The following is a 12895-nucleotide window of genomic DNA, read 5'->3' on the forward strand; positions in this document are numbered from 1 at the left end:
CTCCCTTCCTCCTCAAGGGTTGCTCCCTGTCTGTCCCACTAATGTTTGAAAAATATTTTACTGGGTTCCTAGCCCTGAACTTCAGCGTCTCCTGCCCTCCAGGCTGTTATTTTCAGAGGTAGAGATGAGAGCTGAGATAGGGTCTCCCTTGAGACACTGTCCCTAAAAACTACGACCTTCAGCTCCTAATTGAGGGCTTCCCCGCCCAAACCCACCCCTTCGCAACACAGCCCCCAGGGAAGGTGTCTAGCCTTTGGAGCACTAGGTGGGGGCGGGGGAAACCTGGTCCTAGGAATTCTAGGCCGCCAGATGAGAGGCGATGCTTTCGCCCTCCAGGCGAAAGGATTTGTCGGGGAGAGACAGCAAGAGTTCGACCAGCCAGCCACTTTAGAGATTGTCAGGGGCGCTCAGCTCATAGGGTGGCTCGAGGGCCAGTGCGAAGCTCCCTTAGGGACGAATTTCCACATACGACGAAAGGCATCTGCGAAAGGATGGGCTGTCCCGTGGGGGGAGTCGGCAGATATTTAAGTAACACTAACATTTAACGAATTAAGCAGCTATTTCTATTTACTGAGCAATTAGTACGCTTTGAGAGAGAGGCCCTACCGAGGCCTCGCGGTGGCTGTAAGTCCGTGGGGCCGAGGCCAGGTGGCGCCAAAGGCCCATCGACGCCATCTGCCCGGCTGTCCGGGCCCAGTCTCCGGGCTCGCCCAGAGAACCCGAAATCTGGACAAACGGAAACCGTAGGTGGAGGAAGAAGAGGGCTCCAGGGCCAGGTTCAAGGGCATCGTGGTGAGAGATGAGGGGTTCGGAGGACTGGTGGATCTGGGCATATCGCGAAGGTGGTAAGGGACCCAGGGGTGGAGTGGGCGGTGCTTGCGCCAAGAGGGTGAGCCTGAGTGTGGGCGGGGCGTGCGATAAGAGGCTCGCTCGGTAGCGCTCTTCGCAGAGCCGTATTTGTGCGCTACGCCGCAGCCAGGGCGCTCTGGGTGGGCGGGACTCCAGGGCCCCCAGGGGCGTGGCTTGCATCTTTCGTGGGCGGCCCCGGGGGCGGGGCTCCGTGTAGGTGAACCGCTACCTCCGCTCGATGTGTGAGGTGTGACAGTCCTACGAGGGCGCAGTTCTTCCACTTTTGTGAGCTTGAGAGGGGGCGGAGCTTGTAGCTGGGGACGGAGCCTGAAGAGGAGGTTGAGGGGAACTTCACACGTTTCCCTGGAGGGCGGAGTTTACATCATCCCCCAACAGAGTTAAGACCTCTGAGGGATTCCCTGCAGTGTCCAGGGCTCTGTGAGGCGAAGCTTGCAGTTGTGTTGGGCGGGGCCTGTAGCGCCGCGTGAAGAGAATGTGTAAACTCGGGGCGAAGTTCATACCTCCTAGAAGCCGAGACTAATAGTTCCGCCAATCTGCGCGCGCCGAGCGGAGGAGGTGGGGCTTGTAGGTTGTGGGCGGGGGACTGGGCGGGGCCAAGAGGGCAGGGGGCGGGCACAATCGCTGCTGGAATCTTTGAGTTGGCAGGGGCGGGGCTTGTGGCTTTGTGGGCGGGGCCTCTGGAGAGCTCCCGGGGGCTCTCTTCTGTTCTGCAGCGAGTAGGCGTGGCTCGTAGCTCCCAGGTCCGGGCTGATACCGCTGGAGTATGCAGTTCGCCGCCGCGCCCGAATGAGGCGGGGCCTGCGAGTAAGTGGGCTGAGCCCGGGCTGGGCGCAGGCCGGGGCTCTGCCCTGGGAGGCCGTCTGTTTAGGCCCGCACGCAGCTCCGCATCTGGTGCTCATTACCAGATGACAAAGAGCCGGCTCTGGGCCCCCTTCCCCACTCCCATCCCCCGCCTCCGACTGCAGTGTATTTAACTGTTTCCTGCCCTCGAGGCGCTCTAGATCCCTACCCGAGGTCACGGAGGGGACTCCAGACCATCCCGTCTCTGCAGGCCTTGTCGCTCCCCAGGCTTCCTCACCTCCTTCCCAGACTCAGCCGTCTGGGCCGCCTCGCAACCCTCATTGGCATCCAGCAAACCTGCCCGACGGCGTCTCCGAGGTTAAAGCTGTGCAGGATCTGGCGGGGACGTCTGGTTTGAGTTAGGGGAACGTGAGAGCGGGGACCGGGGGCGGTGCGTAGCGTTCCCTCCGCCCCCTCCGCGACCCCCTGGTTCATCCCCAGCTCCGGCCCCTCCTTTCCTGGTTCCCTGGGGCCCAGCTCAGCCTTCCAGCTCAGGTCCAGGCCCGAAGGGGGCGCTGGGCCACTCCTCCTCGCCTGCCCGGGTGGTCGTGGCGGCTCTGCCCCGTCCTAATTAGAGGCCCCCAAGAGGCTGTAACTGAAAAATTACAGAGGCGGTGGGAACTGGCGCCTCCCCTCCCCAGGTCTCACCCCCGCCCCCCAAGGCAGTGAGCACGAAATGAGGGAGGTCACTCCCACCAGGCTGTGATCTTTGACCAGGCCCTCCAGTTCCTGGGACACTTCAGTCCTGAGCAGCCGGAGCCCTCGCTCAAGCTCAGGTCTGCTGAGCTCTGTCTGTCCCCCACCACCCCCAGCCAACATGGACAAGAGCAACGTGCGGCCCTGGCAAAAGGAGGCCTTGCTCCTGCGGCTGTCCAAGCAGTTAGCATGGGATCTCTCCCAGGTTCCCGGCCTTTCCCATCCCAGCCTCCTCCCCGGAGCAAGCGGAGGAATGCCTCCAAGAGCACCCACAAACCAGGGGTTGGCAGTCCCCTTGAGTTACCCTGAGCCCCAGCCCCCAACTTCCGCGAAGCTTACAGGGATGGGAAGGGAAGTGTCTGAAGAAAGGAGCAACTCACCCACTAGACCCCTCCTTCACTCCTCTGAATCACCAGCCCCAGAGCCTACTTTGACCCCTAAACCCCAGTCCGGTTCAGCAGATGCCCTAATTCCACAACCGTCCCCCAGATTCAGCCCCACCTTCTTGGAGCTTTGGTAAAATAAGGAATAAATATGAAATTCTCCCCATGCCAAACCTCCCACTGCTGGGCTCAACTGTGTGACCTTGGGCAAGGCTCTGCCCTCTCTGGGCTCCTGCTTCCCTGAGAATCTCTGAGGCATACCCTCCCTTAAAGGGATCTTACCTTATCTCTTTGAGGACTCAGACAAACTGAAGGAAGATCCCCTCCTTTTTGCTGAGTCCTCCCAGAACCTCCCTTAAGCACCAGTGGGGGTCAGAAGCCTTGGGTAAGGTTGACACCCCATTTATTGGAGAAGACCCCAGCACCCGCCCCCTGAGGTCTTAAGGGCTTTGGTGTATCCTTGGTCACGAGCGCTGGGCCAGGAAGCAGAGTTCCTGAGAGCCAAGTCTAGTGGTTGAGAGAGGACCCTGGCTGGGCCTGGGGAGCAGGAAGCCATCTGTCCAGCTGGGCAGCCCCCATGGGTCCCTGGTGCAGCCCCGGCCATGTGTCCAGCGCCCCATACTCCATGAGGGGGGTCTGCACCCCATCACACGCTGGTTCTGCAGGTCTGCACCCCTGTGAGGCTGCCCCTGGGGGGCATGGGTTCTGTTGGGCTCTTGCTCCCAGCATGGATGACCCAGCGATAGCAGTCAGTGATGCGCTTGTTGGGTGCATGGGGGCCACAGCGGGTGCAGTACACGATGCCCAGTGCAAGCAGGACCACCAAAAAGACACACGTTGGCACCAGGAGTGCCACCAGCAGCCACCGGTCATCCCTCTGGCTGTGCTCGGCAAGACCAGCCTCCCCCAGGGCTGTTGGGGCTGCTGTGGGAGCTGGTGAGGGCAGCCACAGGGCCAACTTGGGACTGGGGCCATCTTCCCTTGGGATTTGGGGGGCTTTGGAATGGGGATGTGTAGGGCTGATGGGTGAGGTCTGGTTAGTGGGGCTCTGAGAGGGCAGGAGGGTGGGGAGGGCTGCGGGCTGGGTGGCAGCAGGCACAGAGATTTGATGGGCAGGAGACACAGGGGACCTGGAGGTGGTGGTCAGAGAGGGCTGGGCAGTTGGGATAATGGGAAGCTGGGTGGCCTGGGTTCTGAGGACAAGGGCATCTGGGGCTTGAGGGGGTAGCTGGGCACCGAGGGTGGTGACCAGAGGGGCATGGTTAGGTGGGATTCCAGGCAAATGAGTGGTGGTCTGGGTGCCAGCGACCCGGGTGTCTGGAAACATGGGGGACTGGTGGGCAGGGAAGAGCTCCGGATATTTGGTTGAGATCATAGGGGGCTGGTGGGCAGGAGGCTGTGCTGAATGAGAGACAGAGAGAATACCGGGTTGGTAGGCAGAAGGCAGATCTGGATAGTTGGCTGCGATCACGGGGATCTGGTGGTCACGGGACAAAGCTGGGTGTGTGGCAGGGATCACAGGAGGCTGGTGGGCAGAAGGCAGTGTGGGATGCGTGGCAGAGACCACCACAGGCCGGGTGACGGAGAGCACTGAGGAGTGGTAGGGGACCCTGGGGGCACTGAGCGGGGGTGGCCAGGTGGGCTCCGGGTAGGGTATCTGTGGCTCTCTGTCCTCTGGGAAGCTCGGTCTATAGGCCAGGGCAAAGTCAGGCGGCTGCGTAGGCTCCATCCACAGGATCCCAGGCATCTCCGTCCAGCCACCGTTGAAGGCCTTCCAGGCCTCGTCTTCATCTTCCTCATCCTCCCCGTCATCCAGCAACTCATCTCCGAGGTCCTGGGAAGCCTGGGCACCCATGGCCCCTGCAGGGCTGCAGCTGATGCCATCAGCCTCCAGCTCATGTCCCTCGCTACAATAACACTCGAAGCCACCAACGTAGTTGACACACATCTGCTGGCACACACCGGCAATCTGGCACTCATCTGTGTCCACACAGCGGTGCGGATCATCCTCCGCTGGCCGGAAACCCAGGCGACAGTGGCAGCTGTAGCCTTGTGGCCCACCGGGCTCACACTGCTGCTCGCACGGAGCCTGGGCACAGGGGTCCTCGCAACTGCGCCCGTCTGCTGCCAGCCGGAAGCCCTCAGTGCAGCGGCAGGACACGTGACCATCCACCTCCTCCACACATTCGTGTTCGCAGCCCCCGTTGTCAGGGCTGCAGCCAGTCCCCAGGCACAGGGGCCCAGCCCGTGACCAGCCCACACCTCCCTCAGGCTGCTTCACGCAGAGCAGAGAGGCTCCCCTGCCAGCCTGGCACTGCACAGCGGCCACAGAGCCGAAGGGCAGCCACTCAAACTCTGTGGAGACCAGGTGGAAGGGCGTGGTATACACGGCTGGGCCGGCCTGGCCCGCCTCATCTTGCAGCGCCGGGCAGGCGCCCTCGAAGCCAAACTGGCACAGGTAGCCGTCGACAGCCAGCGTGCACGAGCCCTCCAGCCAGCGGTGCTCGCCACTTGCCTCCAGGGCCACACAGCGCTGGGCCGGGCAGGGGCCTCCAGAGGCTGGCTGGGCCCAGTTGGTGAAAGCCGTGTCCTGGTCCCCTGTGGTCCACGTGAAGCCGCGCAGTGGGCGCTGCAGCTGGCATTGCCGGGCCTGCCGCTGCAGCCCGATCCACAGCAGCCGGCTGGCTGGGCCCGCACCCACCAGGCTGTCCACACGCTGGGCCTCCTCGGGGGTCCGAGGAGTGGCCAGGTCGCCCCCCAGCTCGCGGCAGGCCCGCCAGGCCTCCAGGAAGGTGCGGCGCCGTGGGAAGAGAGCGTAGCAGCTGCTGGGGCCGCAGGCGGCACGGGGCTCAGCAGCCCAGGGGTCCTGGCCCAGTGTGGGCCCTGCGGCCGCCCAGGCCAGCAACAGGCGCAGCAGCATCGCGATGCCCCCGGACTGGTCCGGCCCCGGGCTGGCGGCAGCTCTTGACAGGGGGAGGGCCTGGGGCCTCCTGCGGGCGGGCCGGGGGCGGGCCTGGGGCCGGGCTCAGGCCTTGTAAGGAGTGGGCTGGGGCGGCTGCCAGCTCCCTGCTCCCTCTTCCCCGGGGGCCGCTAGAGCAGGAAGCAGTGGGGTGGGGGGCTCTAAGGTTGGGGGCGGAGGAGGGGAGAAGGCGCAGTTGACGGCTGCCCCAGGCCCCATGGGGCTGAGAGTCAGGGGGTGGGAAAAGCCTGCCTGCCGAGCTCTGTGACCCTCAAGTTGGGGCTCGGGGCTGTGGGGTGAGGTCGCTTCCCAGAGACTCAGAGACCCAAATCTGGACACAGCAGCCCCATCACACCCGGGAGCAGTCTCAGCCCAGCTGCTCGCCATGCACGGGAACACCCTCATGCCCACTCCTTTCTTGCCCCACAGACGCGCGCATGCGCCTCCCCCACCCCCAACCCCATGCAAGAGTGCACTCTCTGCCAAGCTGTTTGTCCCTTCACCTCACCGTGGACCTATGCTGGCTTGCAGATGACTCCCTTGCCACACGTACACACATTCTGACATGCTGAGACCCTAGGTGCACATACAAAAATGGTGTGGCATTCTACATGGCCTGACATATGAAGACCTCCGATTCGGCCTGAATGGAAACAGCTTGGTCACCCAGGCACAGGCATCCTCAGCCTCTCATTTATTTACTGAGCCCCTGCGTCAGCCTCTCCCCCTATACTCAAGCTTTCTGGTTCCAGCTGGGCCAGCGTGTGGGGGTGTTGGGGGAGTGAGGGGGCCAGGGGCTGCCCTCCCCTCACCCCAGCTCAGCCTGGGGCCCTGGGAACCTGGGCTTAGAGGGGGAGGAGGCAGCCCCTAAACAGGAAATGCCTCTCTGGGCTCCTGCGTCAGGAAGGCAGGGTGCGTGGTTTAGGGGGCTGGGTGGGGGCTGGGCTGCACGCAGGATGTGGAAGGCTGTGAGGGGACCCATGCAAGGCCATGTATGGGCATGGGGCACACAGTGACATATATGTGTATATGTGACACAGGCATCACGTGTGTGGAGCCCTCCCTGCCCCCGGGGCCTGCTGTTTCGGCCTGGCCAGGGTCCTCTTCCCGCCCTTCCTGGAGGCCTCTGGAGGCATGTGCACTGAGCCCATCATCCAGGATGGCCTCTGGGGAGCTGGCTGGCGGATTAACCCATGCACACCCGCTGCACTCTTAGCAGAAGTTAGAAACAGTGTGGGGAGGTGGGGGAGAGGTTCCGCCCTTCAGTAAACTGCCCTGATGCAGCTTCCCCCTCTGCCACAGATGGATCGACTTTGTGACTGCAGGGGAGTCACTGGCCCTCTCTGGGTCTCCTTTTTTCTCAGTTGCAACATGAGGGCAATGAGTCCAGGATTTTTAGCTCAGCAGGGCTGAGATATTGCGTCACAGCGCTCAGTGTTTGCAAATGTGCTTTGTCAGCTGTGGAGCCTGAAGCAAATGTTCCTGTCTTCTGAGCATATGTGGTGGGTGGAGACCAGGGTGCGTTTTTGCAAACCACCTTACAGTGCCTAGGCTGGCCCTGCAGACCCAGCCAGCCCCTCGAGAACCAGGGCTTAGGAAGTTCTTGCCATATGCCTGGAAGTTCCTTCTTACAAGGTCTATACATGTGAAGCACACAGAATGACTCCCCTTCTCAGGAGACAAAAGTCAAGATGGAGGAGTTCATCCTTCTGTTGGCTCAGGCCCCAAACCTTGAGGTCATGCTTGACTCCTCTCTTTCTCCCACAGCCCACATCCAGTCTCTCAGCAAATCCTGTTGGCTTCACTTTCAAAAGAGATCCAGAATCTGACCACTCCTGGACACCTTCTTTGCCACCCACCCCCGGCCCAGGTGGCTAGCAACGCCAATCTAGATTTCCCCAACAGCCTCTCCCGTGGTGTCTCTCTTGCCCTCTCCATCCTGCCAGAGGGATCCTTTCAAAATCCAAGTCAGATCTGATCACTTCTCCATTCAGAACCCTCTGAGCCCCCCATCTCGCTTAGAGGAAGGGCCACAGTCCTTGCCATGGCCTCCTGGTCTATGTCATCTGCCTCCAAACTCTGGCCTCATTGCTGTTCCTTAAATGCTCCAGACACTCTGCCTCACAGCCTTGGTCTTGGCTGTTCCTGCTGCCTGGAATGCTCTTCCTCCAATATAAAAATGCTCTGCTTCTTTACCTTCTCCAGGGCTCAGCTCAAGTACCAGAGTCCTTGACCATCTCACCCCACCCCACACCGCCCCCTGGGGCTCCTTGACCACTGGATCTTCCTGCATTTTCTCGCTCTGCACTTATCACTATCTGACATTAAATATATTTACTTGTGAAATTAGTTGGACGTGGTGGTGCACCTGTAATCCCAGCTACTCGGGAGGCTGAGGCAGGAGAATCATTTGAACCTGGGAGGTGGAGGTTGCAGTGAGCCAAGATTGCGCCACTGCACACTCCAGCCTGGGCGACAGAGCAAGACTGTGGAAAAGAAAAGAGGAGAGGAGAGGAGGGGAGGGGAGGGGAGAGGCGAGCGGGAGAGAAAAAGAAAAGAAGGAAAGATGTTGGGAACAAGCCCCCCAAAATTTGGCCATAAACTGGCCCCAAAACTGGCCATAAACAAAATCTCTGCAGCACTGTGACATGTTCATGATGGCCATAACGCCCACACTGGAAGGCTGTGGGTTTACCAGAATGAGAGCAAGGAACACCTGGCCCCGCCCAGGGCGGAAAACCGCTTAAAGGCATTCTTAAGCCACAAACAATAGCATGAGTGATCTGTGCCTTAAGGACATGCTCCTGCTGCAGTTAACTAGCCCAACCTATTCCTTTAATTCAGCCCATCCCTTCGTTTCCCATAAGGGATACTTTTAGTTAATTTAATATCTATAGAAACAATGCTAATGACTGGCTTGCTGTTAATAAATACGTGGGTAAATCTCTGTTCGGGGCTCTCAGCTCTGAAGGCTGTGAGACCCCTGGTTTCTCACTTCACACCTCTATATTTCTGTGTGTGTGTCTTTAATTCCTCTAGCACCGCTGGGTTAGGGTCTCCCCGACCGAGCTGGTCTCGGCAGAAAGAGAGAACGAACGAAAGAAAGAAAGAGAAAAGACTTACATGTTAGACCTAAAACCATAAAAACTCTAGAAGAAAACCTAGGCAATACCATTCAGGACATAGGCATGGGCAAGGACTTGATGTCTAAAACACCAAAAGCAATGGCAACAAGAGCCAAAATTGACAAATGGGATCTAATTAAACTAAAGAGCTTCTGTACAGCAAAAGAAACCACCATCAAAGTGAACAGGCAACCTACAGAATGGGAGAAAGTTTTTGCAACCTACTCATCTGACAAAGGGCTAATATCCAGAATCTACAATGAACTCAAACAAATTTACAAGAAAAAGCAAACAACCCTATCAAAAAGTGGGCGAAGGATATGAACAGACAGTTCTCAAAAGAAGACAATTATGCAGCCAAAAAAAACACATGAAAAAATGCTCATCATCACTGGCCATCAGAGAAATGCAAATCAAAACCACAATGAGATACCATCTCACACCAGTTAGAATGGCGATCATTAAAAAGTCAAGAAACAACAGGTGCTGGAGAGGATGTGGAGAAGTAAGAACACTTTTACACTGTTGGTGGGACTGTAAACTAGTTCAACCATTGTGGAAGTCAGTGTGGTGATTCCTCAGGGATCTAGAACTAGAAATACCATTTGGCCCAGCCATCCCATTACTGGATATATACCCAAAGGATTATAAATCATGCTGCTATAAAGACACATGCACACGTATGTTTATTGCGGCACTATTCACAATAGCAAAGGCTTGGAACCAACCCAAATGTCCAACAATGATAGACTGTATTAAGAAAATGTGGCACATATACACCATGGAATACTACGCAGCCATAAAAAATGATGAGTTCATGTCCTTTGTAGGGACATAGATGAAGCTGGAAGCCATCATTCTCAGCAAACTATCGCAAGGACAAAAAAAACCAAACACCGCATGTTCTCACTCATAGGTGAGAATTGAACAATGAGAACACGTGGACACAGGAAGGGGAACATCACACACCGGTGACTGTTGTAGGGTGGGGGATGGGGGAGGGATAGCATTAGGAGATATACCTAATGCTAAATGACAAGTTAATGGGTGCAGCACACCAACATGGCAAATGTATACATATGTAACAAACCTGCACGTTGTGCATGTGTATCTTAAAACTTAAAGTATAATAATAATAAAAAAAATTTTTTAAAAAGAAAGAGAGAAAGAGAGAAGGAAGGAAGGAAAGGAGAAGAAAGAAGGGGAAGGAAGAAGGAAAGGAGAGGAAGGGAGGGGTGGGGATGGGAGGGAAAGGAAGGGAAAGGAAGAAGGGAGGGAGGGAGGAAGGAAGGAAGGAAGGAAAGGAAAGAGAGAGAGGAAGGAAGGAAGGAAGGAAGGAAGAAAGAAAAAGAAATTTACTTGTGGATTTGCTTATTGCTTATGGCCCAAATCTCCCCTAGCCAGTGTTTCTCAACCTTGGAGTTACTGGTATTCAGGCCTCGGTAATTACTTGTTGTAGGGACTGCGTGGTGCATTGCAAGGTGTTTAGCAGTGTTCCTGGCTCCTATGTAGATGCCAGTGGCATCCCTCCAGTTGGACCATCCAAAATGTCTCCAGACATTGCCAAATGTCATGTTCCCTGGAAGCAGCATCACCCCCAGGGGAGAACTTCTGCCCTTGGAGACTGTGAGCTCCATGAGAGCAGGGTTGTTATTTGGTTCCCTGCTCTATCCCCAAGCCTAGAAAGCTCCTGACTCATTCACGATGCCTCGTGAATGAGCTTCAAAGAAGTGATGAACCTGGCTCAGGGAGATGCAGTGGGGAGCTGGGATTCTTCCTGCAGCCAAAGCTCACTTGTCCCCAACACTCACTGGCCTTCCACATGAAGTCAGACCACCTCTGGCAATCGGCAGGCCTTTTTGCAGATGGGGAAACTGAGGTACAAGGAGTTTCAAAGAGTGTCGGTGGCAGGAATGGGACTAGAGCCAAGGTCTCCTTATTCTTATTCCAGTTCTCTTTTTGCTGTAGCACCCTCAGGCATCATTTGAGCAAAGTTCTGAGAGTTAGGCCTCAAGTCAAAAACCAAAGACAGGGCAGGGCACAGTGGCTCACGCCTGTAATCCCAGCACTTTGGGAGGCCAAGGTGGGCCGATCACATGAGGCCCGGAGTTCGAGACCAGCCTGGCCAATATGGTGGAACCTCGTCTCTATTAAAAATACAAAAATTAGCCCGGCGTGTTGGCGGGTACCTGTGGTCCCAGCTACTCGGGAGACTGAAGCACAAGAATCGCTTGAACCTGGAGGCGGAGGCTGCAGTGAGCCGAGATCACCCCCTGCAGTCCAGCCTGGGTAACAGAGACTCCATCTCGAAAAAACAAAAACAAGATGGGAGGAAGGCATACCAGGAAGAAGGCACAGCCTGGGCAAGACTACTGAGGTGGCAGAGCTCAAGATGGGTTTGGAGAATACAAAGGACTCCACCAGGCTGAAGTGAGGGACATTGTTAGGGACAGTAAGGAGTGGAGAAAAGGAGTAGGGGCCTGTCTTGAAAGGTGTTGAAGTTGTCCCTAAAAGTCCGGGGCTCCCTTCTGGAGGCCATGGGGAAGAGAGGCATGATGAGAGATCTCTGTGGCTTGTGTGTGGTGGGTGGAGGGGGCTTGGAGGCCAGGGACCAGTTAGGAGGCTGTTGCAATAGTCTGGGAAAGGGGAGGGAGCTGGCTGGAGAGCCCGGCGGCAGGGCGGGCCGGGCTGGGGGAGGCAGCCTCCAGAGGCTCCTTAGGGGCAGTCCTGAGCCTGGTCCAAGGGTGTGGTGAGCCCAGTCATGAGTCGGGCAATGGCCAGTACTAGGGCGTCTAAGGGGACGGATGGCTGCAGGCCGTCTGACAAGTGGGTGGATGGGATCAGAGGTCAGGAGTCCAGCCTCTGTGGGGGTGAGGGGTTGGGGGGCAAGCAGGCAAAGCAGGAGAAGAAAGGTCAAAGGCCAAATTCCAGATGTCTTGGCTGGGCCTACTTGCAAGTGGAAGGAGGCCTGAGCCAGCATGAGGGATGGAGAAGGCAGGAAGGGGCACCTCTGGCCTCTGTGAGGCTAAGCGTCTGGTGGATTGGGAATGAGACTTGGAGAGGTATCTGGTTGCTCAGTTCGGGAGGGTGCCCAGCACTCAGCAGCCTCCCCAAGGTTGTGTGAGGTAAGGTTGAGGCTGCCCAAGAACTGTTTTATCTAGTGAGGCTGGAGGATGTAGCGGGCATAGCATCAGGGATCTGGGTTTAAGGGGCTGGAGAGGGGTTGGTTGGGGTCTTGTTCTTCCTGCTAGTCTTTCAGCCTAGCAGAGAGAAGATGCTAATTGATACAATAAATGCTTGGAGGATGGGTGGGTGGATATATGGATGGATGGATGCATGGATGGATGGAGGCATGCATGAGTGGATGGACTGATGGACGGATGGATGAATGCATGCATGGATAATGAATGAGTGGGGTGGCTGGCTGGGTGGATACATGGATGTTGATCTGGGGTGGGTGTGTGGGTGGATGGATGCATGGATGGGTGAATGCATGGGTGTGTGGGTGGGTGGATACATGAGTAGATGGGTAGATGGATGAATGCATGTATGCACAGATGTATGAGTGGGTAGAAGGATGCTTGGGCAGAAGATGGATGGATGGGTGGATGGATGGATGGATAGATGTATGCATGCATAGGGCTGTATGTGGCTGGACAGATGCATGGGTGGGTGGCTGGACAGATGCATGGGTGGGTGGATGAGTGGGCAGAGGCATGCATAGATGATGCATGGGTGCGTGGTGGGTAGATGCATGAGTAGATGGGCAAATGGATGGATGCATGGGTGGGTGGGTGGATGGATGCATGCATGCATGTATGAAGGCATGGGTGGGTGGATGCATGGGTGGATAGATGGATGGATGCATGGGTGGGAGAGTGAATAGATGGATGGATGCATGGATGCATGGGTGGGTGGGAGGATGTTTACGTGGAGAATAGGTGGATGGGTGGTTGGGTGGACGGGAGGCTAAATGGAAGGATGTAGAAATGAGTAAGTGGATGGATGGATAGATGGGTAGG

At 57.0% G+C, this 12895-nt stretch overlaps 1 protein-coding gene across 1 annotated transcript, besides 5 other annotated features; it reads right to left on the reverse strand.

Moving 5' to 3' along the window:
• Positions 883–1132: a silencer, noted in NCBI's record as "silent region_3587". NCBI's record gives its function as "represses an Ori minimal core promoter by ATAC-STARR-seq in GM12878 lymphoblastoid cells {active_cell/tissue: GM12878}" and the evidence as "EXISTENCE:reporter gene assay evidence [ECO:0000049][PMID:35858748]".
• CD248 (CD248 molecule) lies at positions 3176–5726 on the reverse strand. Its single transcript, NM_020404.3, has one exon. The coding sequence runs from the start codon at positions 5707–5709 to the stop codon at positions 3436–3438; it is 2274 nt and encodes a 757-aa protein (NP_065137.1). The 5' UTR covers positions 5710–5726; the 3' UTR covers positions 3176–3435.
• Positions 4475–5171: an enhancer, noted in NCBI's record as "H3K27ac-H3K4me1 hESC enhancer chr11:66083264-66083960 (GRCh37/hg19 assembly coordinates)". NCBI's record gives its function as "activates a minimal SCP1, AML or CMV promoter by ChIP-STARR-seq in primed H9 embryonic stem cells {active_cell/tissue: H9 hESC(primed)}" and the evidence as "EXISTENCE:reporter gene assay evidence [ECO:0000049][PMID:30033119]".
• Positions 5655–5924: a silencer, noted in NCBI's record as "silent region_3588". NCBI's record gives its function as "represses an Ori minimal core promoter by ATAC-STARR-seq in GM12878 lymphoblastoid cells {active_cell/tissue: GM12878}" and the evidence as "EXISTENCE:reporter gene assay evidence [ECO:0000049][PMID:35858748]".
• Positions 7728–8229: an enhancer, noted in NCBI's record as "H3K27ac hESC enhancer chr11:66086517-66087018 (GRCh37/hg19 assembly coordinates)". NCBI's record gives its function as "activates a minimal SCP1, AML or CMV promoter by ChIP-STARR-seq in naive H9 embryonic stem cells {active_cell/tissue: H9 hESC(naive)}" and the evidence as "EXISTENCE:reporter gene assay evidence [ECO:0000049][PMID:30033119]".
• Positions 8230–8729: an enhancer, noted in NCBI's record as "H3K27ac hESC enhancer chr11:66087019-66087518 (GRCh37/hg19 assembly coordinates)". NCBI's record gives its function as "activates a minimal SCP1, AML or CMV promoter by ChIP-STARR-seq in naive H9 embryonic stem cells {active_cell/tissue: H9 hESC(naive)}" and the evidence as "EXISTENCE:reporter gene assay evidence [ECO:0000049][PMID:30033119]".

This window comes from Homo sapiens, chromosome 11, assembly GCF_000001405.40.
Source record: "Homo sapiens chromosome 11, GRCh38.p14 Primary Assembly".
Taxonomy (NCBI): domain Eukaryota; kingdom Metazoa; phylum Chordata; class Mammalia; order Primates; family Hominidae; genus Homo; species Homo sapiens.

Bases quoted from the DNA above. Each gene is read 5' to 3' on its own strand.
- CD248 (NM_020404.3), bottom strand. From the start codon at position 5,709: ATGCTGCTGCGCCTGTTGCTGGCCTGGGCGGCCGCAGGGCCCACACTG.